General features: G+C 37.4%; 1 long non-coding RNA gene across 1 annotated transcript in view; it reads left to right on the top strand.

Moving 5' to 3' along the window:
* Positions 1-27,931, top strand: part of LINC02254 (long intergenic non-protein coding RNA 2254) — a 151,441-nt gene that overhangs the window by 5,883 nt on the left and 117,627 nt on the right. The window contains exon 2 of the long non-coding RNA NR_120324.1: positions 505-642. This is a non-coding gene — a long non-coding RNA (long intergenic non-protein coding RNA 2254). The remainder of the gene's footprint in view (positions 1-504; positions 643-27,931) is intronic.

The following is a 27,931-nucleotide window of genomic DNA, read 5'->3' as shown; positions in this document are numbered from 1 at the left end:
TCTGTGTGTGTGTGGCGTGACTCTCATTCAGTCCGGTAAGATTCTCAAACAAAGTCCAGTGTCCTAAAAATATTTGGAACTATTACAAAGCATAAATTATAAATGTGTCAGGAAAATGGGAAAAGGTGTCTTGGGCCTACTTAAAACACAAAATGATCTCAACCATTATTCAACAATGATATGAACATCTTTTATTTCATTTCTCCTTAACCATTCCTTCTGTTTGCTATCATTTCCTGCTCAGCACCATGTCAATAATTACTAAATTAGCGGGACGCCTGTACAATTTCAGCTCAAGTGTTATTACTGACAAGTCAAACAATGGGGCTGATGGAAAAGATGGGACTCCATCTCCTTATTTAAATGGACCGTGTTCAGAAGGAAAGATTGAAGCCCCCTTTTTCTTCAAAAGAAGGAGGGAGGGAATGGTTTACATTTTGTGCAGCTCAAGGACACAGAGTCAGAGGAAATGCCTTTTTAACAGAAACCTCTTTTCATTTCCAGGGGACAAAAATGAAGGTTATTGAAAAGAATCATGCTTGGTGGAAGAAGTAATTACATTTTTTTTTCAAATCTCAGAGGAATAATGCTTTTATATTTCCTGCGATGACCCAATTTGCACTACGATATGCTCCCTTAAATGTAAGTGTGCGGACACCCTCGCCCTGTATTGTTTTTCACTGGTAAAGATGCCCTGTCGTACCTCAGATTAATTTCTGTACTGGTCTCCCAATACACAAAAGCAACTGCACCATGGTTGTCCGTTTTTACAATGATGAGTAAAAAATGGCAGACTTGGCCAGTTGTCCCCCCAAAAAAAGTCAGAGAGTCAAGTAGCTGCAGCTATAAATCATCTTCTCAAATTGTGTGATTCAGGGCCACTGACCTGTCTTGAGCGGGAAGGAAGTGGCCTGAGTGCTCCAAAGGAGAGCTGGGGCTCTAGCTTCAGCAGCCAGGTGCTGGTTAATTGGACTGGAAGAAAGGGTTTCTTACTCCTAGTCCTTGTTCTCCAGCCTTACTGTATATGCATCTATCTCTAGAACTCTGCTATCCACAGCTATACAGGAACAAGCTTCAGAAATATCTTTTCTCTACAATGAGAGGTAGTATTTTAAAAACTGTATTAAATATTTGTTAAAATGTGTGTATCTAGCAACATGATTGCTAAGAAAGACTCCAAAATAGTGTTTAATACCTCTGAGCCATTCTTTGATTATTTTTATTAAAATGCTTAAAGCACTTTCTGGAAATTTATTTGTGTTTGATATAGATAGGAACTCACTGTGCATAAAACTAAGCTTAGTTTTGAAATGTCAAACAAACCTTCTATGACCTTTGGCTTGCAGTGAGGTAAACATTTATTTGGGAAATACGTATGTGTGATTGCTTCTCGCTATTTTGGCTAAGATCAAGTGTAGGAAATATATGTATGTCGCCTGTTCCAGTTTACTTACAAACAAATTCTTGATTTTCGGAAAAAAATGATCACGCATTGTGTCATTTAGCATGTTAGAAGGCCCTAATCTTAACTCTTTTCAACCTCCAAAAAAGATGGGTGCTTAAACAATGTTAATGAGGAAAATAAATGAAGATGTTAATGAGGTTTCTACCTTTCTTAAGGAAATGTTTAGATTTTTATTTCTTATACTCATTTTCTCATACTAGCTATGGAAATAATGATGAGGATAATTTGGGGTGATTTGTTCTGAGAGCTGACAGGGAGGTAGGGTTTCTATCACCTGCAGTAACTCAAAGGGAAGTACACACGAGCCCTAGACTACCAGATATTCAACAAACACTTGCACTGTATGACTAAGAAAAGAGAATTTGCTTCTGTTTCACTAACATGGACTTCTGACACTTTACATAAATGATCATAATGTTGATGTTTAGTGGTTAATGGACATTTATGGCCTCTGAGAAGGCCTGTGCCACCAGATAACTCATGCTCAAGAACACGACTGTAGATTTGAGTAATCTTGTAATGAATCATTAGGTATAAAAAGACCCTTAATATTGCTCTCTTTTCTTTCTTTATTGTACTTTAAGTTCTGGGATACATGTGCAGAATGTGCAGGTTTGTTACATAGGTATACACATGCCATGGTGGTTTGCTGCACCCATCAACCCGTCATCTAGGTTTTAAGACCGCATACATTAGATATTTGTCCTAATGTTCTCCCTCCCCTGGCCCCCCACCCCTGGACAGGTCCCAGTATATTTTGTTCCCCTTGCTGTGTCCATGTGTTCTCATTGTTCAACTCCCACTTATGAGTAAGAACATGTGGTGTTTGGTTTTCTGTTCTTGTGTTAGTTTGCTGAGAATGATGGCTTCCAGCTTCATCCATGTCCCTGCAAAGGATATGAACTTATTTTTTATGGCTGCATAATATTCCATAGTATTTATATGCCACATTTTCTTTAGCCATTCTATTATTGATGGGTATTTGGGTTGGTTCCATCTCTTTGCTATTGTAAATAGTGCTGCGATAAACTTACGTATGCATGTGTCTTTATAGTGGAATGATTTATAATCCTTTGGGCATATAACAGTAATGAGATTGCTGGGTGAAATGGTATTTCTGGTTCTAGATCCTTGAGGAATTGCCTCACTGTCTTCCACAATGGCCAAACTAATTTACACCTCCACCAACCATGTAAAAGTGTTCCTATTTCTCTACAGCCTTGCCAGCAGCTGTTGTTTTCTGACTTTTTAATAATTGCCATTCTGACTGGTGTGAGATGGTATCTCATTGCGGTTTTGATTTACATTTCTTTAATGACCAGTGATGATGAGTTTCTTTTCATATGTTTGTTGTCTGCGTAGGTGTCTTCTTTTGAGAAGTGCCTGTTCTTCTTCACTCACTTTTTGATTTTTTTTTCTTGTAAATTTGTTTAACTTCCTTGTATATTCTGGATATTAGCCCTTTGTCAGATGGGTAGATTACAAAAAATTTCTCCCATTCTGTAGGTGGCCTGTTCACTCTGATGCTAGTTTCTTTTACTTTGAAGAAGCTCTTTAGTTTAATTAGATCCCATTGGTCAATTTTGGCTTTTGTTGCAATTTCCTTTGGTGTTTTAGTCATGAAGTCTTTGCCCATGCCTGTGTCCTGAATGGTATTGCCTAGGTTTTCTTCCAGGGTTTTTATGGTTTTGGGTTTTACGTTTAAGTCTTTAATTCATCTTGAGTTAATTTTTGTATAAGGTGTAAGGAAGGGGTCCAGTTCCAGTTTTCTGCATATGGCTAGCCAGTTTTCCCAGCACCATTTATTAAATAGGGAATCCTTTCCCCATTGCTTGTTTTTGTCAGTTTTGTCAAAGATCAGTGTTGGAAATGTATTGGCAATGTCTAAGCTCTGACTAGTGATTGAGGAGATTCATAAGAAAATGGAAGAAGGAAAAAGAAAAGAAAAAAGATACAATTAAAATAAAAATATTTCTAACATTTGAATGTCATGATTTTACCTGGATATGTTCATGGGTCTCTTACTCTGTCAACTGATTTTTCTTCTCACTGAATTGACTGGATTCTGATTGTGTTTGAATCCTTCAGCATATGTTTTATTGTACAGGATATGTAGAAACATTTTTTGAACCATCAGTTATTTGAGTTTATTATTTATCCCAATAGGGTTTATTTCTTTGTTTACCATTAATATTTTTTGCAAGATATTTCTGAATTTTGAGGCACTGACTAGTAATTTGGGTAGATTTTTAGATGATAATCTTAATAGAAAAATCATAGATAGATGTATATAATAGGTATTTCAATATTCTATTAATGGGGATTGTGGTGTTGCGAAAAATATGTTAGCAGACTCTTCAAAATCACATTTTGCAGGGAGTGTAGAAGATGATGTTGATTCCCCTGACACTAAGGGCTGGTAGTTTTCTCAGTAGGGCTTAACATCATGCTTTTGAGTGGGGCTCTCTGTTTTCTGGAGTTCCACAGACCCACACTTCCATTCGTCACAGTAGAGCGAAAGGACCTTTTCAATTAGAGGTTCCTATTAAAGAGTAGCTTAATTAGATATATTAATTTGGAAGTTCCTAGCATGCACATGTCCAAAATAAAGGATTAATCTGCTAAGAAAAGGACAAGTTTCCCAGGATTATTTTATGTAAAGCCTGATATTTCACTCAGTGTGGTCAGATTGCCTGGAGTCAATGTGTAGCTCTGCCATATCAGAGCTAGGGGACTTTGGTCAAGCTTCTTAACATCTTCCCCCTTTGTAATGTGAGGAAGACCATTCAGTAATATTCACTGCCTCATAAGATGATGGTGAGAGTTGAATGGATTAGTTAGATTTGAATGACAGAGCTCAGAACCATGCCTAACACAGAGTATATGCTTGCTTGCTAATGGGGAGCTATTGTTGTCATTACCATTATCATTGTTATTATCATTATGGCAAAATTATTCTGAAGTCTGTCCTGGTTATTTCATTTTTTCAAATTTATGAACATGGACTTTCTAAATCAAAATGGAATTGTCCTTTGTCACTTGCAGTCTCCATTAGGCAAATAAACATTTCTATCAACAGAAACCATAGAAAATGGTCCACTGTCAGGTACTGACACAACCGATTTATTTATCATCCGTTCACTTAACAGATATTTATCAACTTCACGTAACGCCTTTGGTAATCAGATATTTACCAACTTGCATTATATGCAAGACAGCTTATAAAAATGAAGGTGTCCCAGGTATGGGGTTGATAGTGTAGCTGGAGAGAAGATAAGAGACATGATTGCACACATGCATGCATATTCATGTGTGTATTTTTTTATAGAGGAATTAGAGAAAATTTTTGAGAATTTTGAAAAAAAAAAACATGGAACATTAAAAAAATTAATTTGTGGAACACATTTATCAAGCACCTAGGTGATTCCAGTAATGGAGCCTAGTCCTGTGAGGTAAAATATATGTCTTGGATGATAGTTAACACCCCATAATTCTAGAGGGGCTAAAGAAGAGGCTAATGACTGATGTATGTACTCAAGAGGGAATAATGCCTGTAATTCAAAGAATTATTATATAGTGTTAAACCTAATTTACAAAATGTATGTTAAGGTATGTGATTAAATTATATTGTAGAGAAAGTCTTGCAAGTCAAGGAGTTTCACATTTCTTTTGGTTCTAGCAGTGCCAAAGGCCCCTTTCATATAACGGCTGCTATTAAAGGGGTAGTTCAAATGCACAACAGCTCTTAAAAGCTCCTATCAGTCCCTATGTCTAAAATGAGGCAGCGCTGGTTCATCCCTGATGCTGTCCCCAAAAGGCAGCCCTTTTTCTTGTCATTTACCATGTTAGTTCTTTCAGAGGTCATGGCTATATATTTAAATTATATTTTTAGTGACTATTTATTGATAGGCTGTATTTGGGCCTTATTTATTTATTCATTACCTGTTATATTTTCCCTATTTACTATCTTCTTGACTCCCTAATTTGTAACTCATACCTTTCCCTTGCCATGCCCCTTCACCTCTGAGAATCTATGCTCTTATTTTTACTTTAACATTGCCAAGGTTGATAAGCTTTCCATTCTCCATGGCATCCAATTAACCATAGGTAAATTATGTTTTTCTCATTATCCCTTGTGTTCTTAAATCTCACAATTAATATCTTAGGTGTGGTCTTGTCCTATTTATTTTTCTAAGAATTTGTTGGTCCTTTCAATTATTTTTCTGAGAATTCGTGGACCCTTTCAAGTATAAGTTTCATGTAAGGAAATAACTTCTCCATCATTAGTTCCTTTATTAATCCGACTGATATTCATGGAGTTCTACTATGTAACAGACCCTATTTTAGGCACTTGAAATTTGTCACAGAATGAAAAGAGAAAGAATCCTTGCCCTGGGGGAGTTTACATTCTATTTGGGTGAAGACAAACAATAAATAATAAATATAATAAATATACACATTTATATAGTAACTGTGAGTAGGATGCCTGGGAAGGAAGGAGAAGTTGCAATATTTAATCAGTTGGTCGAAATAGCTTTGTTAAGAAGATAATATTTGAGGTAAGACTTGAAGAAAGCAAAAGAATTAACACAACAACAACAATTTGAAGGAGAAGCATTTCAGGAGGAGGAAACAGAAAATTATCCAAAGAGAGGACATGGCTGGTATGTGGTTGGTGAGGCTGCAAGGGCTTGAGACCTGAGGGGAGGAGAAGGAAAATACATGGTCAGGGAGGTAAGAGACAGTGCAGAGATCTATTTTAAGGTCCAAGAATTTTACTCTGAGTGAAATAAGGGGATATTTGAGGGTTTTGGAAAGAGGAGTAATATGAACTGGTTTGTATTTTTAAAGAATCATTTTGAATGTATATTGATAATGGGCTGCAGAGGAGAGCAAAGGTACAAACATGGAGGTTGTACCTTAGGATGTTGTTGTGGTAACCCAAGTGAGCAGTCATCATGGTTGAGGTCGATGAATGTGGTGAGAATGTGGTGAGAGGTCGATGTGGTGAGAATCATCATGGTTGAGGCAGAAGTGGTGAGAATGTACATCCACATATACTTTCTGGATATCTTTATACACAAAACACCCAGAACTTGCTGAGGAATTGGATGTGGAATATGAGAAAAAAGATCTAAAGGAAACTTTTGACCTGAGCAATAGGATGAATGGTGTTGCAATACTCTGATACCAGGTCTGGGTGTTAGACATTATAGTTAGACATTATAGTGGGGCGGCAAGTAGGGTAGGGATAACAACACAAGGTGTAACAACACAAGTCATCGACATACAAGGGAGTATTAAAACATTGAACCAGAACGAGACAACCAAGGGAGTGAGAATGAACAGAAAAGCATATCAAAAAAATAATAATGCAAATTGGGCCTCCAAGTAGATGAAGTCTGAGAAATGTCTACTGAATCTAGCAGTATGACGGTCATTGGTGAACTTGGTGAGAGCAGTTCTTCTGGAGATGTGCAGTGAAAAGCCTGGTTGGAGAGTCTTCAAAGAGAGTAGCAAGAGATTGATGGAAGGCGATGCATATAGACAACTCTTCTAAGCACTTTTACTGTGAAGAGAAGCAAATAAATGAAGCCAATATTGGAGGAAGAAGTGAAGACAAGGACATAAGCGTATGTTTGTGTGTGTGTGATCTTTCAAATGAGAGAAATAACAGATTCTATATGATGTGAAAAAATCCAATAGAGAGCAAAAATTTGGAGTAGGACAGAGGGGAGAATTGCTGGGGGGACGTTCTTGAGTAGGCAAGAGGGGATGGTATCTAGAGTGCTAGTGCAGGGATTGTCTTGGGTGAGAGTAACAAGCCAAGTGTGAGAGCACGGAGGCTGACACTGATAAATGGTGCATGTCATAGTGGAAGACGGAAATTATCTTCTGTCGTTTCAGTTTTCCTGGTGAAACACGAAGCAAGGTACTAAAGAGTGAATAGGGAGGGAGAAAAGGTATTTGGGTGAGAAAAAAGAGAAGGTCCAAAATTGGCCTTTTTTAAATTTTTTATTATTATACTTTAAGTTTTAGGGTACATGTGCACAACGTGCAGGTTAGTTATGTATGTATACATGTGCCATGTTGGTGTGCTGCACCCATTAACTCGTCATTTAGCATTAGGTATATCTCCTGATGCTATCCCTCCCCCATCCCCCTACCCCACAACAGGCCCCAGTTTGTGATGTTCCCCTTCCTGTGTCCATGTGTTCTCATTGTTCAATTCCCACCTATAAGTGAGAACATGAGGTGTTTGGTTTTTTGTCCTTGCCATAGTTTGCTGAGAATGATGGTTTCCAGCTTCATCCATGTCCCTACAAAGGACATGAACTCATCGTTTTTTATGGCCTCATAGTATTCCATGGTGTATATGTGCCACATTATCTTAATCCGGTCTATCATTGTTGGACATTTGGGTTTGTTCCAAGTCTTTGCTATTGTGAATAGTGCCGAGAACAGTGCTGCTCCAAGTGTGTGCAAACTGGACTCCAGGTCAACAGTCTCTGATTAAATAAGTAGTAGCCAATGAAAATAATTATTCATAAAGTTTTACAGTAAGTTCATATTGCCTCAATGTCCAAGCTCATGATTCATATCAGTAAATGTGGTTACATGCCTATTTTGTATATGAGTATATTCATTTGATGGCACAGCTGCAATGCAAGGTAAATATTATTTTTTATTTTTTGAGGCAGGGTCTCGCTCTGTTGCCCAGGCTGAAGTGCAATGGCACCATCTCGGCTCACTCCAGCCTCCACCCACTGGGTTCAAACGATTCTCGTGCCTCAGCCTCTCTAGTAGCTGGCACTATAGGCATGCGCCACCACGCACAGCTAAGTTTTATATTTTTAGTAGAAATGTGGTTTCATCATGTTGGCCAGGCTCGTCTCGAACTCTGACCTCAAGTGATCCACCCTCCTTGGCCTCCCAAAGTGCTGGGATTACAGGCATGAGCCACCACGCCCAGGTGGAAAACATTATTAAGGTGTTACCTAGATTAAGGTACTTGAACCAGAAAATAAATCAATAAACTGCTTCCTTCACTGAGAATGTTTTGATATGAAAAACGATGTCAGCTGAACTAAACAGTGACTTAGTAACTTGGTAAAAATTGTGAATTACACAAAGCCTAGTGTATTGCATTTCAAAGTGTTTTCATTTTATGGGATAATATGGAAACTGATCATGAACAATGATTTTTTTGCTGAGGTACAGATTTTGAAGAGAAAAATCTTTGTTTCAAAAGTCTAAACTGGAAGATTAATTATTAGTGTTTCTGTAAGAGAAGTCACCAGTTTGGACCCAACTTTTTAAAAGATGCTAATTGGACAACCAGACCTGCTTGTTTCTGTCATATCTTTGGTATTTTAAATTAATAGTAATGTTCCCACGCAAATAGAAGGTAAAATTGAAGGGCAAAAGCAAATATTAGAACCTTGTAAGAACAGAGTTTCTACAGATTGTTTTAACATATTTCATAATTTAACAATGATTTTTAATAAAAAGTTGATGGTCTTGATCTTGCACATTTATAAAAGGTCATAATAGTACAAACTACAAGTTGGTGGACAGTTTAAAATTTTTACTTTCTATCAAAAGTTGAATGACACATAGGAAATTTAGGGATACAAGCTTCATCTTTTCAATCAAAACTCAGATTTATGTAGGACATTAGAAGATTGGAACTTGCTACCAATGAAGAATTAAAAATAAAATTTTATAATATACCATTATTTGCTTCAGTATGAATAAAAGAAAATAAAAGAATTTTCTGAGCTTGCTTTAAAATCTCCTCTTCTAGTCTCATAACATACTGTAAGATTGCTTTCTCTCCTTTGAGTATTGTTAGAAAAAAAACTTGGAAACAATTCAGGTATACATTATCAACCACAGGTAGGGCTGCCACAATTCAATATAGATTACATGAGTTAACAAGCAAAAGCAAGCAAATTTTTCACAATTATGATTTACACATGGACATATATGAGTATTGGTTCAAAATATACTTATAAGCATTCAATATGGGGATTAGCTATTTTCTTTAGTTTTTTTTTAATTTTTGATTACAGAACAACAGAAAATTATGAGTACAATAAAGATTTTCTCTGTATATTGTCTGTACTTATATTTTCAGTGACTAAAGCCATTCAAATTCTTTTGTTTTCCATTATTTTATCCTGAGTATAGTAATTAAAGTATAATTTTATATCTGCCAAATCTAACAATAAACTTGAACTCCATTTGTAGCTCCCATTTTTCATTTATTTTTAATTATGTTTTACACAAATATCAATCTGAGGTAAATTGGGGGAGAAGCTACTACTTTACTATAAAATATTTAAGAAGCAGTGCCTTCAGTAGTGAGTAATTTAAGGTTCTCAAGCCAAGGAGTCACATGGTTAGAAATATACTCGAACAGTACACAAGAAGATGGATTGATGGGTGTCCATAAAATCATGTAATAGCAACAGAATGAGTTAGTAGTAAAGGCCAGCTGGCCTAGAATTATAAGTCAGAAATAATACTAAGGAAATGTTTGCAATGACGTTGTGGTAAAGGGAAGGGAATCTAAGGTCTTGGGTGCTAAGAAGACTTCAAGGCAATTACAGGAGGAGAGACTATCACGAGATTTTGAATATTTTCAGCTGGAAGTTTTGTTGTTGCAATGAATGACTAGAGGAGGATTAGATTAGTAAAGAGAAAAAGACTCCATCATACAATATTCACTCAACAAATATTTGAGTGCCTATGGAGTACTAGACACAGTTCTAGAAACCAGGGGGAGAACAGTGCACCAAAAACTTCAAAGTCCTTGCCCTCATAGAGCTTATATTCTAGCTGCAGAAAGATAGACAATAAATAGTAATTAAATAAGTTGCTAAATGTAGAATACGGCAGATAGTGATCAGTGCAAAGTTAAAAAGCCAAGCATAGTAAGAGAGATTCGCAGTGTTGACATAGGGACTGGAGTGATTATTAGTGTTTTAGAGGGTGATCAAGGAAGCCCTCACTAAGCTTTTTCTTGGGCAGAGACTGGGGGAAAGTGAGAGAATGGGTAGTGAAGCTATTCGAGGGAAGAATGCAAAATACCTGAGGCAGAAGTTAGTTGGGAGGGAGGAGGGATAGCATTAGGAGATATACCTAATGTAAATGGCGAGTTAATGGGTGCAGCACACCAACATGGCACATGTATACATATGTAACAAACCTGCACGTTGTGCACATGTACCCTAGAACTTAAAGTATAATTTAAAAAATGTAAAAAAAAAAAAAGAGAAAAATAGCCAGGAATCTAGTTTCAGGGTATTGAGCAGAGGCAAGAGATGTAGGTAGGAGATGATGTCAGAGTCATGGGTCAGGCCACCCGGGCCCCTGGAGAATAATATAAGAATTTTGATGTTTGTTCTATGTGACAGGGGGTACACTTGGAATATATCAAGAGGAAAAATGACATGAATTAGACGGTGATGTTTTAAAAGGATCACAGTGACGTTATACTTATAAACTGTGGAAGCAGGGCAAGACTGAAAGAAGGCAATCCAGTTTTGAAATTATTGCAATAATCCAAGCAAGAAATGATAAGAAGTTTGTTGCTAAATGACAGTAGAGAGAAGAAGAAGTATTTGAATTCAGTATATATTCTGAAAATGGAGACATTGGATAGAGTGATGAGAGAAGTTTTCCCTGGCAAGGTGACATTAACCTGAGAATGAAATACAAGAAGAAAAAAAAAGGGGGTGGAAGAAGGCGGGAGAGCATTCCTGTCAGAGGAAGGATTCAGCACACAGTCCATGGGATAGAAACAAGCTTGGTTTATTTCCGACCAGAGAGAAGGCCATGAGCTAGAATGCAGTGTGCTGTAGGGAGAATAATATGTGAAGTCAGAGAAGGCAGGACCCCATAGGGTAGAGTATGTTTGGATGTGGAAGACTTTGGGATGTGTTCCTAGATTGTAAGCAGATGAATGACCTAAATTTAGCTTTATTTTTAAATGAACTTTCTGAACACTATGAAGAACTAACCATAGAGGTGGAAGACAAAGTAGAGGTGGATTTAGTTTTCTGACGTATTGAAATTTAAGCAGATTGAGACTTCTAGTCATGTGCAGATGTTTCAAATGTGGGGGCCAGTCAAGCTAAAACCAGTTTGAAGCACGGGATACCAACAGCTATGAGTCACTGTCATTTCCCATCTATATCATGAGGCTATGACTCACCAGTGTCACAATTTCTTTTCTCTAGAATATATTTCTTCCGTAATTAGATTTTATATATGTCTGGCCTGTTTCTGATAAGAACGCCTTTCAATGATGCTTTAGGGATAGTGTTTGCTTTGGCAGGAAACAGAGTCTTTGCTAGTTAAGGACTTTTTTTGTTTTTTGTTGACTTTTACATCCATTACATGGAATTTCAGCAGCTCATAATATTCCTAATAGAAAGAAAAATCATGGCCAATTTTGAAAGCCAAAAACTTAACCTGTTTGTTGCCTCTAGGTCAAATCATTTAATTGAACAAGTAAAAGAGAATGCACTTCTGCCTGTTGGAGACACAAACTTTTATATTATTTTCCAGCACCCTACTCAGAGCAATGGAGGCTAACAGCACCGGGAGAACGATAACAGAATGAACAAGGGCCAACTTCCAACTCACATCTACATTTTTCATGTTTCAGTTTGGTTTCTGACTTAAATGTTAAGGAAGACAAAGATTTTGTTTTGAGCGATGACTACACTGGTTTTAAAAGTGGAACACTAGGATGGCCCATAAATATCCTTGAGATCAGACCATGTGGATGGTCATTTGCCTCTTCTACTTACTAATTGGAATTTTAGTAAATTAAATTTTCTTCGGAAATTTATTCTTTCTGGTCATAGTGTTAGCTAAAATACAGATAATACAACTGTTGTTAAAATGTTACTGAAAAATTAAATGTACTGATGTAGGTAAATTGGAAAGTGCTTCATTAACAGAACACTCTATAGGAAGAAAATATAATTGCTATTCATGTCAGTATTTATATCCAGATATAAGAATTTCAAAATTCATATTTTGGATTTTGTCTCTAAGTAAATAGAAATATAATATAATCAATAGTATCTTTAACAATACCATCACAGAAAATATACAGCAACATTTACAAGGCTAATCTTTATAAAAGTCTTCAACTTTAGATAGAATCTTAAAAAGAAAAACTTTAAGTAGAAATCCAATCAATGGCCTGCCATAGCCTATAAGCACAACCTTATCACAACCCTTTGTACTCTCAGAGGTATATTGGGTAAAATGCATTACTAGACTGAATGATACTTAGGAGGGAATATACTATGCTTTTGAAAAACATTTCTTGTAAACTTTACAAGAACAAGTAAAGAATAATAATTTCTATGCCTTTCAATATTTGTGATATGTTTCCCAGGAACTCATTGTGATTAAAAGGAGAATCAATTTCATAGCCTTGATCCCAAAGATCTCTTTTTTACTCTCATTCCATAATCCAGGTGATCCACGGACATGCTCAATCATATGTTCATGAATTAACAGCTAATTGACTTGATACTGGTTAGTTAAAGGAATGGTCTTCTTTTTTTTAATTTTATTATTATTATACTTTAAGTTTTAGGGTACATGTGCACAATGTGCAGGTTTGTTACATATGTATACATGTGCCATGTTGGTGTGCTGCACCCATTAACTCGTCATTTAGCAATGCTATCCCTCCCCGCTCCCTCCACCCCACAACGGTCCCCAAAGTGTGATGTTCCCCTTCCTGTGTCCATGTGTTCTCATTGTTCAATTCCCATCTCTATGAGTGAGAACATGCGGTGTTTGGTTTTTTGTAAAGGAATGGTCTTCTAACCTGTGCATACTTTCAGGGGGATAGTGCCCTTTCCAGAATTAAGGTATGTAAAACAATGATTACTGACAAGTGAGCACTCTTCTTTGCCATTTGCAGAGCCAGGCTACCCAGCACTGATTTTTGTGTGTGCATGTGTGCAATTCTTTGTCCATTTCTAAGTCTTGTAGATCAGATCTTTCACATCTTACATGAGAATTCTAAAGAGAAAAATGCAGATTTTTCAAGATCTCTGATGGGTTTACTTTAGAGCGGGGAAAATGGCAGCTTATGTGTACATGCCAAAGTTCCCAGAGTCCTGATTGTTACTGAGGGCCTAGTATGAGTCACGTCCTGTACCAGGCCCTGGAAATTAAAACAAAACAAAGCTAGGTGAATAAGCCATAAATCCTCTGAGGACAGTGCCTGTCTATGGACACACATGGACAACTTTAATTTATTTTCTAAGTGCTCAGGTAACTGTTGTAGGAGTGAGTTTAATTCTTGCACTGGGTATTTTGCAGTCTGAATGATAATAATGGAAATAATGACAAACATTTATTAAGTGGTAACTATGGGTAAATGGCCAGTATATTATTTCTAATCCCTAGAATAGTTCTAAAGAGCAGGTGTTGTTATCCAATTTCCATTATCCTCCCTTTAAAAAGCAGAGGATCAGAGAGGTGTAGCAACTTGCTCAAGGATATATGACTAGTAAGTTTCTGAGTCAACATTCATACCCAGATCTAGCTTCAAAGGCTATCTATCTATTTTCTTTGCTGGTTCTCTAAATACCATACAATCTATTATTATAAAATATCGTCTAGGAATTAGGTAGTCTGGGTGGGTCTTGCATGGTATAGTAGTTAATACAAGGCAATTAATGTAGAAGAAAAATATTTTCCTTTATATGCTTAAATAAGTTTGCATTAAAACATCATCTTATTTTTTACACATCATGGAACAGAACCATCATACTGTTCCTATTGTACAGAAGCAGAAAGGGCTAAAAAGATGAAATGCCCTGCGTAAGGACATACAACTAGAAATTTGCAGACCTGTGGCTGAGATCTGCTCTGCACATCCCAGTGTCACTTCCCCTGTGTGGTTCTGAGCTAGCACAATAGGGATCAAAGAGGAACTTGCTGAGCTGCAGAAGCAGAAGTCAAGTGGTGGCTGTTGTTCTCAGATGGTTGTCTCAATCAACCTGGAGATGAAGAGAGAAAAGTCACCCACTGGGTATGAATCCAGCTTTCCTCTCTCTCCTCCACTTCATATCCAACTCATCTTCTTGACTACTGGCTTTGTGGCCCAACTGCAACCATAGGCCCACCAGTAGATGTTTTACCATAAGCCTGCAGAGGCAGTAGCTACACAGAGACCACAACTTCTATGTAACCCTTTTGTGAACTCCCTCTTCATGGTTCCAGTTGGATACTAGACATGCTTGAAGTCTCATATTTCTCTTTAAGCTTTAATCTTTCATTCATGCCAGCAATTCAGGAAAATTTGTTAGTGACTCTCTGGTCTTTGACTATCCCTTCTAGAGCTTCATTTTTCTATGTCTGCATTTGTGTAAGGTCTAGTTTCTATAACACATCTCTTATTCTCCTAAAACTCATAGTGGCTCTACTATCTTGAGGGGACCATGACTAATGCAGTAATTGTTCCAAGAAGAACCTTAAAGTTGGAGTTGGTTCTCTGATCTGACTAGACGTAGGAGCATTGAAGACCTGATGTCACTGATAAACAGGACACTGGTAGTCCCTGGCATGCATTGGCAAAACATTCTTTAGATTATCATCTATAGTCAGCTGGAGGCAAGTGTTCTTTGAAGGCAAAGCTTTGGGCAAGTAACTAATAACAAATAATGTTTTAATGATGATAGAGAATATAATGTCTCTTGGTCTTGGTTGCACAGGATAACTTGAATAAAGAAAATGAAAAGTTCAGGCTTTAATTCTCAGCTTCTTTTCTAGATCAAGGGCTAAGAAGCTTTTCTGGCTGCCCTAACATAAACTCTTATCCCCGTAGCCACAATGGTAAGATTTCTGAAAAACAAACCTCAAAGCTAATCCTGATGGTGGCTAAATAACAATGCAAATTAAATTCACAACTTTTAAGAATCTCAACTTAAAGCTGGGGCATTCATTGGGAAGAGGGAGAACCTATAAATTTAGGATGGAAACATGTGGGGAAATTCCAGTGAAGCTGAAGACATTACACTTTAAATTCTGGCAAGCCTCCTTTGCCAGTAGAAGCAGCCATATTGTCTCCATCCAAGGAGGTGACGATTTTTCCTGAATAACCTGTAATAACCTTTACTTAGGTCACCGTCTTCAGGGTACTGATGATCTTCAGGATTTACCCACTGTCTCTCATTGCTTTTGGACCTGAAACCATAATCCAGTCCCTGAGGACCTAGAGGTATAAGTACATGCACCAACAGACTTGTAAGTTGTTGCCAATTTAGATTAACAGAAACCTGTAGACAAGTTATGATATTGGCCCATAAAAGTGTTGGATCAAGTTAGAAGGGATATAATATTGAATCAGAAAAAAATTGTATTTTATTTTATTTTAATTTGAGACAGGGTCTCACTCTGTTGTCCAGTCTGGAGTGCAGTGGTGCTATCATAGCTCACTGCAGCCTTGAATTCCTGGGCTTATGAGATCCTCCTCCCTCAGCACCCTGAGTAGTTGAGGACCACCATGTCCAGCTAAATTTTCTTTAATTTTTTTTTTTTTTTTTTTTTTTTTTTTTTAGAGACAGGGTCTTACCGTGTTGCCCAGACTGGTCTCAAGCTCCTAGGCTCAAGTGATCCTCCTTCCTCAGCCTCTCGAAGTGTTGGGATTACAGATATGAGCCATCTCACTTGGCCAGGAGAATATTTACTAACAGAGATGTAATAAGTAGAGAGTTTGGATTCAATGCAGTAGAGCAAGAGGTGGGACCGACTCTATTCAATTGTGCAATTGCTTGACTAGAGGCTGAACTAAATAGTAGCCAACACTATTAGGCTACTAGTAGGTAGGTAAGAATCCTGAGCCTCCTTTACATACTGAAGAGAAGGCTCCTCAAGGCTTAGGATGATAGGGGTGTCTTTGTGTACTCTATGTAATCGTTCCTCGCTTAACTCTAGCTAGATTGCTATGCTACCCTGGAAAGTTCAGAGAACACTGCCTCTACAAATTTCTCAGTGCGTTGAGAGAGACACTGCTAAGAGAAGCATTGTCTTCAAGAGTTCTGTGGTGGCTGTTCTGTTTAGGTCAAGATTATGAGCGGGAAATGCTGCTATAGAACTGGACCCTTGAAGATGGGTTGCTCGGGAGACAGGGGCCAAGGGAAGACAACTACCAGAGACAGTTCAAGTGGTGATTCTAAATAGGCAACAGAGCAAGAGTAGTAATCAGAATGGTTTGACCTTCAGAGATCTTTCTGTTAGGCCAATTGACTGCAGTGTCTTTAAAACTGAAATAAATGAGGAGTCTTCAAAAACCTTCCATATTTGTGTAATCAGCAAAGTTTTAGGTTTGTTAACAGAAGTTTCACTCAAATCACCACATTTTGAAAGTCTTGGTTCCTCAGCTAGCATCCTTTAAGTGGATACAAAGTCCAATCCTCATGAGAGATAAACCTGCAAGTCTGCCAGCAATTTATATAATATTCTTCCTTGTATTCCCATAAGGGACGTCTAGCCCTTAAATAGGGTAACTATGCTTTGGGAAAGGGGACTTATTCAGACTTTTCATGGATTACTGGGTACTGGCTCTGTCATAAATTCTTTCTGGAGTTCTCAGATATTGCTGTTGTCCACCCATCATATTAGGGATTTATAGAGACCAGGCAATTAATTAACAGAATTTTGATTCAGGCCAAGTGGGTCCTTCAACTTGGCCTTTTGTTATTTGCTCAGTTCCAAAATGAATAACATAAACAGGCATATTTAATAACTCACCAAATCTTTATATTATTTCAGTGAGCTTTCTAGTAAGGACTATTACGGAAGCCCATAGTACAGCTTCTACCTACCAAAACAGTAATCCAAGAGCAATATTGCTTTTATTTTATTATTTTATTTATAGAGGAATTCCAGAGATTCAGTACTGCTATGAAGCACTTGAAGAATGTAGAGGTGAATTGCTATTGTATTCCCTTTCGATTTGCCTATTTGACCATGCATACAAAATATGGATTTTAGAGAAGCTAGGAAATTATCATAGACTTAATCTAATGATAATTTAAATTGCAGTTATTCTTGATTTACTGGAGCAAATCAATGTATCTTCTTGTACCTAGTATGTGGTTACTGATTTGTAAAATGTGTTTTTTCCCTCTGTATCTGTTAATGAAGACTACTAGAAGCAGTTTGCTTCCATCTGGAAGGAACAACAATGCACTTATACACCGTCTTATTTTAATTACCTAGCCCTCTGTAATATTATCCAGCAACTAGAGAACTAGCTAGTAAATATTTTACACTTGCAGTCCCCATATAGTCTCTGTTCCATATTATTATTTGTGTTTTAAAAAACCCTTCAAAATGTAAAAACCATTTTTAACTCATAAGCCTTATAAAAACAAGTCACAGGCCAGGTTTGGTTTATGGTTTATAGTTTTCTAACCCCTGATCCAATCCACAGGACCTCAATCATATCTGTATTACATAAGACCCCATATTAGCCCACTACATTGATAACATTATGTTGACTGGACCTTGTAAGCAGAAAGTTGTAATTATACTGGAAATCTTAGGAAGGCACAAGTGTGCTAGAGCATGGAAAATACATCCCACAAAAATTTAGTCCTAATTCCTTGGTGAAATTTCTAGGAATCTAATGGTCTCAGCATATAAACATATATCTTCCAAGGTAAGGGAAAATTGCTGCATTTGGGTCCTCTTAGCACAATGGAAAAAAAAATGAGTTTCTTTGGATTTTGGAGGCAACATATACCAAATTTGGGCATGTTAATCCAACCCATTTACCAAGTAATCCATAAGACTACCAGTTTGAGTGGGGCCCAGGGTAACAGATAATCCTCTAACAAGTTCAGGTTGCCAGGTGAAATGTTCTGGGATTTTGGCCCATATGACAAAGCAGTTCTATTGGTGCTTTGAAGGGTCACTGGCAGAAGGGATGTCGTACAGAGCCATTGACAGCTTTTGTAGGTGAACGCCCTCAATTCACTATGCAACATAAATCATCAGAATTTTGAAACAAAACTTTGCCATCTTCTGTGTGTATTTACTCTTCTTTTGAGGAACAGCTCCTGTTTATTACTAGGTCCTAGCAGAGATAAAACACTTGACTATGAATGACAGTATTACCAAGCCAGGTGACCTAGGCTACTGATTTAAAACTGCATATTTTCTGATCCACACAGTCATAAAATTGGCCATGCACAGCAGTACTCCATCATTAAACAGAAGTGATATATATAGGATTCAACATTGGTATGTCCTGAAGCTTCCACTCCTGCTATATTCCCTTCTCTCTCTACCTCTCTTATGACATTATGGGGGGTTTCTGGTGAGTAAGTATGAACAATATTCAGATCTCATTACAGAGAGTCTGCGTAAAATGCTGGAACCAGCCAAAAACAATGACAACTGCAGCACTGTAACCTTACTCAGGGGAGGTGCTGAAGGGCAGTGGTAAAGGAATATTTTAGCAGTGGGCGACATTGAGCAGTACACCTCTTTGTTTATTTTTCTCTGCAAAGAGAAGTGACCAGAGATACAGATCTACACTGATTCATTTCAAGTAGCTAAAGGTCTGGCTGTGTGGTCAGGGCGTTAAAAGGAAATGATTGGAAAATAGGTAACAATGAAGCCTAGGAAGTGTTTCTTCTTCAGGGCACAATATGTAAAGATACTTATGTTCCATTTGAATTATGATGAAAAGTCATCCACTTCAGAGGAGCTTGTCTTAAATAGATGGTCTCTTCTGTATATGTCAGTCAGGTCCTTCCCCCAGCCACTGCTGTCCTTGTCTGATGGACTTGTGACTAGGGTAGAAGAACAGTGATTTTGCATAGGTTTATCTATGTGGGCTTCCACTTGCCAAGTTCAATCTAGTTGTAGTTACCTGCTTTTCAACAGGAAGCAGCAACAAATATCTGTTATGGCATCATAACAGCGGATGCTGGCATCATAATAGGGGATGATCACAGGGGAGTAATCAGCCTCCTCTGCTTTCTAACTTAACCTAAAACACCTTGTTTTCACAATACATCCTTCCAGTGTTAATGACTGGAAAATATTAATTTGCATTTTTAGCAATTCAACAGCTTGGGAAAATAGCCTATCTAAAATAATCTTACTTACTTTGAACTCATTTAAATTGATTTTTTTTTTTTTGGTGAAGGAGTGATAGATTCTAATTCTTATCCAAGACTTCATATAAATACAACAAATAGTTCTCCTACATAGCCATGTGGATATTGCCATCAAGTCATTTAGCTATGCTCCATCATAACTTCATGATTTTTGCTAACGTTCTATAGAGAAGAGAAAATAAGCAAGACTAGCTGATTTAAAGCTTTCTACTGTCTAGAGAGTGTCTTGCAAACCCTCAGGTATAATATTTATTCCCCTTCCCCATCATGATTTACTCTACAATTTATAGTCACACTTGAACTGCCAGTTCTAAATCAAAGAGCATTTTTGAGATGGTAACACAATTCTGTAGAGGACTACTAAATCTCTCCCTACAGCATACTTGAACTTTCCAGGACTCCTTGGGGAAGACTCATAAGATGCAACACCGTGGTATTCAATTCACTCGTGTGAAAATATTACAATTTTTGCTAATTGGACCATTAAAGCACAGGTTTCAATAAAATCTGAACTATTCCTTGAATAAACTTAAGTATGATAACTTGAAATAAATACTTTTTCATACCGTACCCTGCAAAACTGAACCTATCATTTCATTCAGCCAGGCAATAGACAGATGCTAGACATGAATGACTAACACAAACCAATATTGGCTATCTTGTGCCCACTCACTGGACTGACCACCAAAATTAAGCATTTTTACTATTGAAGTTTCTAGACTAAGACTGAGGCATTGGTGAGTAAAAAAGAAATTAGAAATCTGTTTCTCAGATGAAGCCTCAAGGTTGGATGGTAGAGAGGTGTGTAAAATCAGGGAGAGGAAGGAACTGAGGATGACATCATTGTCTGTCTCATTCTCTATGAACCTATAGCACCTTTGCTATGCTTCTATGGTGAACTTTCTTTCCCCTCAACCTTGTGGTCAGAATTTATGCTACTATAATTTGTGGAAGAAGAAGGGACATCTGCAAACCTCTCCTTATTCTTTTCAACATTACTTTCCTTTTGAAACTTAGGAAACCCATGATCAGAGTTGAAAAGCAAAGGTGCTGACAACTACATCTAAATTGAAAATAATTGGATGCTTGTGTGTCAAAGCACCAAGGCATAAAGCCAAGTATCTGAACATCAATGGAAAGGCAAGTGGGTCAGAAGATAACCTGTATATCCTGTATCCCTCTGTATCACTATCTTCTGAAGGCTCCTTTTGGAATACATCGTGTTCTCTTGTAACCCAATGAAGTCAAAGCCTCTTATTATAGTATGTTAATAGTGCTGGACAATTCAGACGAGACCTCTCGAATGGAAAGGAGTCATCTTTAAAGGCTTGAGAGAAAGTAAGGACCTAAAATAAACCTTGGCAAATCCCTACACTATAAAGTAAAATATTTGAAATATTCCTAAACCAAGTCTCTGAACATAAGCATCTTTTCTAAGCTAAAAAGAAGGTAAAGGCAATGATCTGACAATCACAAATCAGTCACTTTGATGCAGTAATTAGATGACAAATTCTTACATGTAATTCGTACAGAAGAAATTTCCAAATTTCACTCGATTTATTCCCCAAAAGATATTGAAATAAAAGACGTTTATTAATATAGAAATTAGTATTTTTAATTAACATGGTATACATTTTTATTGGTGTGTAAAATAAATTTCTCAAGGAGTAAAAATATTTTATAATAAGAAGCTTCACTTCTTTTTAGGCTTTTGATGACACTAAACACTGGTATAATACATTTTGGACTCTGGGCGCTGTGAAATGATTCTGCCCTCCACCTTGGTAAAAACCAACTTTTAATAGAGTTCCAGTAGGCAATGCTATCCCATCTAGATGAGATAGATAATGGTTTGGAGTTAGTGAACTTGGTCAAAACTAAACTCGGTCATGTCCTAGTTATATAAATTCAGAAAAGGCATTTAACCTTTCTGAATGTTAGTTTCTTCCTTCTTAATATGGTAATCATAGTATCATATTGTTTGCTGTGATCATTAATTCCAATAACCCACTTAAAGCAATAGTAAATGTTCACTATACATTCATGTATTTTTCTCTCCTGACCTTCTTCTCTTTTTCTTTCATAAAAGAGTTAGTACTACATTAAACTGCAAGTAGCTGAACACCTAAAGTAACAATAGCTTAGACCATATAGAAATTTATATTTTTATCTTCTGAAAATATAGGCAGTCCAGGGCTACTAAGATGGTTCTGTGATCACCAACTCATGTCCTAATATAGCTCTCCAGGCCTCTCTATCACAGTTATATTTGAAGGGAAAGAGTTGGGGGATGACCATATACCCTTGCTCCAGGGACACTCCTTAGAATCCAGACTCAATGTGTCCACTTGTATCTCACTGGGCAAGTCTTACTAACAAGACTTCTGTGATGGTTAATTTTATGCATTAACTTGACTGGATCATGGAGTGCCCACATATTGGGTTAAACATTATTTCTGGGTGTGTATGTGATGGTGTTTCAGGAAGCAACTGGCACTTGAACTGGCAGATTGAGTAAAGCAGATGACCCTCTCCAATGGGAGGGGCAGCATCCAACCACTGAGGCCCTGAACAGAACAAAAATGCGGAGGAAAGGAGAATTCACTCTCTCTGCCTGGGTACACGAGCTGGGATGCTGGTCTTCTCCTGCCGTCAAACTGGGACTTACATCATTGGCTTTCTGGTTTTCAGGCTTTTGGTCTTGGACTAGAATTTATACTCAGTTCTCCTGTTTCTCAGGCCTTTGACCCAAGACTGGATCTATAACACCAGCTTTTCTAGATCTTCTGCTTGCAGATGGTAGATCATCAGGCATTTCAGTTTCCATAATCCTGTGAGCCAATTCCTTATAATAAATCTCTCTCTCCATATGTAGATAGGTAGATATAAATATATATCCTATAGGTATGTATGTGTATTTGTGTACAGGTATATGTATATACACATATATACACATGTATGTATGTGTGTGTATATATGTGTGTATGTACCTATATATGTGTATATGTGTATATATTTGTGTGTGTGTGTGTACGTGTGTGTGTGTGTGTGTGTGTGTGTATGCTCTAGGTTCTGTTTCTCTGGGGAACTCAATATGGCTTCAAAGAAAGCTTGGAAATGTAGTCTTTATTCAGAGAGTCATATTTCCAATTAGAAACAGCTTGTTTTGTTTTTTTATAACAGATACGTAAAAGAAAAATACAGAAAAATGGAGAATGGATAAGATTAAAAACTCTCAGCCTCTAATATACCTCCCCCTTCTATTCTTCCCATACCACCCAAAGGGAGTCAAGAATTCCGATGGAATTACACCAAGTAGTAATTTTAAAGATTACAGTTGTATCTCTATAAAATCAAATTATTCTTTGATTCAATGGACAAATTTTAGTGAAAGATTGACTGGATCAGTTGCTTTGACATTATATAGAAGGAGTCCAAAATGGAATTACATCTTTTTTAGTAATCCAAATAGCAGATGACTTTACTTGAGTCTATATTTACACTGTCAACTGAGAAATTTAGAAAATATTGAAGAGAAATGATTATAAAAGGCTTTATTTTTAGGAGAATGAGTTATTTTAATAAAACAATCACATCACTTTTTCACATATTTCTACCAAATGAAAAATAAAAAGCAAAAAATAAAAAATAAAAAGTAAGATGTGGCTTTGCAAGTAAGAATCCAATTAACAGATGAAAACCACCAGCTAAAGCAGTTTTCTGCTTTCATATGGAAGAGAATTGGCTGGATAATCAATTTAATTGTACATAAATGGGCCTGTTGGGAAGTAAAAATAAATTTGGCAGAAATATATTTCACTCAGGGGTTTGGGTATGTGAGTTAGAGAAACAATGTTGGTTTGAAATGAAATTACACACACTTAAGTCTATAGATGTAACAGGTTTTCAACACTTCTGTTTCTTTCTGTCTCTCTGTCTCTCTCTGTCTCTCTCTCTCTCTCTCCAGACATTTAGCTGGAAACTTTGAACTTTTATCCTCTGCATCCATACAATACGCAGCCTTTGACTCTCGGGAGTGAGCCTGATCAGGCCTGGAGTTAGGAGAGCTGGGCTCTAGACTGGATCTTCTCCAGGAAATCTGGCCTTGGGGTCTTCCCTGTGAGATCATGAAAGAGTAGATGATTTCAAGATGATTGTTTCTAGAAAAATCTTTCTAGCTCTAGGATTCTTCACCTCTGTGCCTGCATGACTTGAATTTACTGACAATTTACCCAATGTTTGGTGTAGGAAAAGTGCATTTTGTCCAAGGTGACCCAAGAGTGCTATGGCATCTTTACTTGGTAAGATGCCTTCTCACGTTTGAAAATCTTTTCCTGTCATGAATGCAGTGTTGCTTTGAATGTGCACGATTTCCCACTGCTGCTGTTTAAATGATAACAGCAGGTTCAAGTGATTTGCAAACTGTCAGGAAAATGACCTCAGACACCCCAGTTATTTTCAGTGACTGTAGATACACCCTTAGGCTAAAGCCACAACAGAATTTTAAATAAAGCAGGATAAACCCAAACTGACTACCTTCCCCACTTCTGACACTTTGAATGGTTAAGGACCCTTCAGCCTGGCTCCAGTTCCTGTTCTGTTAGAAACACCACATTACCTGCAGAGGGGTGCCCAAGAACTGACATATTCTAAGGAGAAAAATGTATTATAACATTTGCTTTAAATCTCAATTATTAATCTCCTCTCCTAACTATCTGAAGGGCCTCTCTCCTCCCTCACCCCCAGTTTATTCCAGATATTTTCAACACACTTAAACACAATTTGGAATTATTTTGTTTCTTTGTTTTATTTTTTATTTTACTTTAAGTTTTGGGATACATGTGCAGAACATGCAGGTTTGTTACATAGGTATACATGTGCCATGGTGGTTTTCCTGCACCTATCAAACCTGTCATCTAGATTTTAAGCCCCGCATGCATTAGGTATCTGTCCTAATGCTCTCCCTCCCCTTGTCCCCCACTTCCCGAGAGGCCCCGGTGTGTGATGTTCCCCTCTCTGTGTCCATGTGTTAAAATCTGACCCCTTTACCAGAATTTCCCATATTAAAGGGAAGGGACCAAGCCTATTGCATTTGTCATTATTTTCCCTGATGCCCGATACTGTGTCTGGCTCATAGTGGGTGCTTAATAACTATTTGCTAAATGAAAGAATCAATAAATAGATGAATCCAAACTCAGAAGATAAGTCTATGCAAAGTAAAGCAAGTAGCATGGTTGGGGTTAATAATTAATCTATTTAATCAATGCTAGTGCATTATTCTGACATAGCCGTGACCTTATACCAGGCTGGGCAAATTTCTGCCCACCAGTAAGTTCTCTTGTTAAATTTTGTTTCAAAGCATATCATTTTTCTTTCTGTGCTAATGTACTTTTTACCGTTATAGATTTTCTAAATGTATTCAAACTGTACCCAAGATGGCTCATTTTGTTATCAATTCCTCAAGTGCTGGCTCCCTAATCATTAACTAATTGTCTCTGTGCTCTATTGACAACTTGGCCACCTTCTTGCTAATTTTTGCTGACATGATGGAGGCCCCCAAGAACTGGGCTAACCTTTGGCTGTTCACACAAGAGCCACAGGTGGTAAAACAGTCGATCAGACGGGCCCGTATGTTCAGGAAAACCTCATCAGCATTCCAAGTGATTTGTCTAATGAGGCATCATTAATTGACAATGGGCGGGTAGATGAAGAAGTTCCTTTACTGAGATTACAATGTTGCTAAAATAGACCAGAGGCTTAGGGAAACAAAACCATGAGTAAAGGCAGAACTAGTGGTGGAGGTAAAGACTATGCTTTAGGCTAAGATAAGAAACAAAAACTACTGATCACTTCATCAAACTTCCGGTCTTGTAAACGTTGTAAAAGATGGATGTGCTATAAATCAGCCACCACTAGTATTTCACAGTTATAACTTGTGAGATGATTGCACAAGATTAGAGATATTGGTATTTACTTATTTAAAGAATAGCTGGGGCATGCTAGTGATATCGCTGTGAAGGAAATGGCAAGAGCTGGTATTGAACTTTAAATATGATATGGCCATTTAGCCTGTGCAGCCCAGGTATGCTTACACTTATATATCAGCCAGTGGTAACACTCATTCACCCAACCTATATGTGCTGAGTACTGATAGAATGCAGGGATGTTCTGATGTATGTGGATAACTGGGATGTGATGTACACATGGGTAAACATCAGTTAACAATGGAAATACAAGAATATCTGCCCACTAGGAGTGTACCTTCTAAAGATGAGAGAGAGATGATAAACAGGAAAGTTAATACATGAATAAACTATATAATGTTACAAGGTTATAAATGTTCTATATTGACAAAAGAGAAAAGAGTGGAGTGAAAGGTATCAGAGTTGGGTGGGTGGAGGAGTATGGCAAATTTTTTAATTTTTAAAAAGGAGTTAAGGCAGTTAGGACAAGCCTCGTGGAATCTTGAAGAAGTTGAGGAAATTACCCAAGATGGAAAAAGAGCCAGCCTAACAGGCAGGCAGAGACTTTCTGTGGGAGCCAACCTGGCACATTGAAGTAACCTGTTGTGGAGGTGTAGCTGGAGTGGAGTGAGCAAGGAGGAAGGAGATGAGCTTAGAGAGGTAGGGGTGACCAATATGAATGAGAGAAGCACATCACAGTCTTTTGAACTATTGAAAGAACTCTGGATTTCAGGTGTAGCGTAACTACAAATCATGGTAGAGAATTTTAACAGAGTCAATAAACTGATCTAAGCTGTGTATGAAGAATTCTCGTTGCTGTATTGAGAATAGAGACTATGCGCATCACTGTATGCTTTAATAATTTAAAAAACATTGAGTTGGACATGCACCTGCATAATGATTCATTTGCACTAATTTGGAGTTCTTGGTATTCCTCTACTTGCTTGTTTTCTGGGAAGTTGTTGTGGAAAGGCTTTGACTGGCTTTAATAAATGAGCTTATTGTCTTTCACAAGTGCACCTGTCAAGGGAACACTAAGGGAGAGAAACCTGCACTGACAAATTACGCCACTTAAATAACTAAATGTTGGGGATCTGGTGTGAAAATGCCATGAATCTGCAGGACCATGGGAAAAGGAGCACCCATTTTGGCTGAGCTGATCCTGTTACTAGTTTCCAAAACCAAATAAATAATCTGGCATCTAATATCCAAAAAGGAATAAACTTAGTGGACAATTCAGTTTCATGAAAGTTTCTCTGTCCTTGGCTACCCAGCCCACCTTGGGACTGAAGTGCAGCATCAGGGCTATCATATGCTATTGGGACACCACATAGCTATTTCTCGTTGCGCATACCCTTGGGAAAAAATTAGGAAGAATATAAAAACTACCATTATTTTTGCTACCCAGAAAAGAATATTGCTTACATGTCTTTATGCCTCCTTCCAGATTTTAAAAACAATTGAGTTCATTGTGTATTATTCTGAACTAGTTTATAAATACATTACACTTAATATGTATGCATTAATAATTATTCAGTGAACACTGGTTCAATGTGTATGCCATGCATTATTTTATATCTCACTGCCCCATCATGCTATTTTCAGGTTGTTAAAAGCAATTTAGAAATATAATTTTGATTAGTTACACTTACTGGTCCATTACATGGAGGCAGTACAGTGCAATGGTAAGCATGCAGGCTCTGGAATAAGATGTGTCTGGTTTGAATCCTGAACCAGCCAGGATTTGCTAGGCTTGTTAGGAAAGTCACGTAATTTTTCTGAACTTCCATTTCCTCATCTTCAAAATGAGGAATATCATAGTATCTACTTCCTAGGGTTTTTTAGGAGGTTTGAGGTCATGTAAGTAAACCCTTTGGCAAATTTCCAGACAACTAACAATCATTTAGTAAATAAATGATAGTTTTATTATTATTTTATTTACCTGTAAAACATTAACTATTGTCTGGAATTTGTGTTTTTTTTTCTAGTTGTTTACTATTAAAATAATTCCACAATGAATATTGCATTAGTCTGTTCTCATGCTGCTAATAAAGACATATCTAAGACTGGGTAATTTAATTTATAAAGGAAAGAGGTTTAATGGACTCATAATTCCACATGGCTGAGGAGGCCTCACTATCATGGTGGAAGACAAAGGAGGAGCAAAAAGATGTTTTACGTGGCAGCAGGCAAGAGCGAGCTAGTGCAGAGGGACTCTCCGTTATATCCACTATCACGAGAACAGCATAGGAAAGACGCACCCCCGTGATTCAATTACCTCTCACTGGTTCCCTCCATGACATGTGGGAATTATGGGAGCTACA

This window comes from Homo sapiens, chromosome 15 (genome assembly GCF_000001405.40).
Source record: "Homo sapiens chromosome 15, GRCh38.p14 Primary Assembly".
NCBI classification, from domain to species: Eukaryota; Metazoa; Chordata; class Mammalia; order Primates; family Hominidae; genus Homo; species Homo sapiens.
This window is presented reverse-complemented; position numbering and strand designations above follow the sequence as displayed.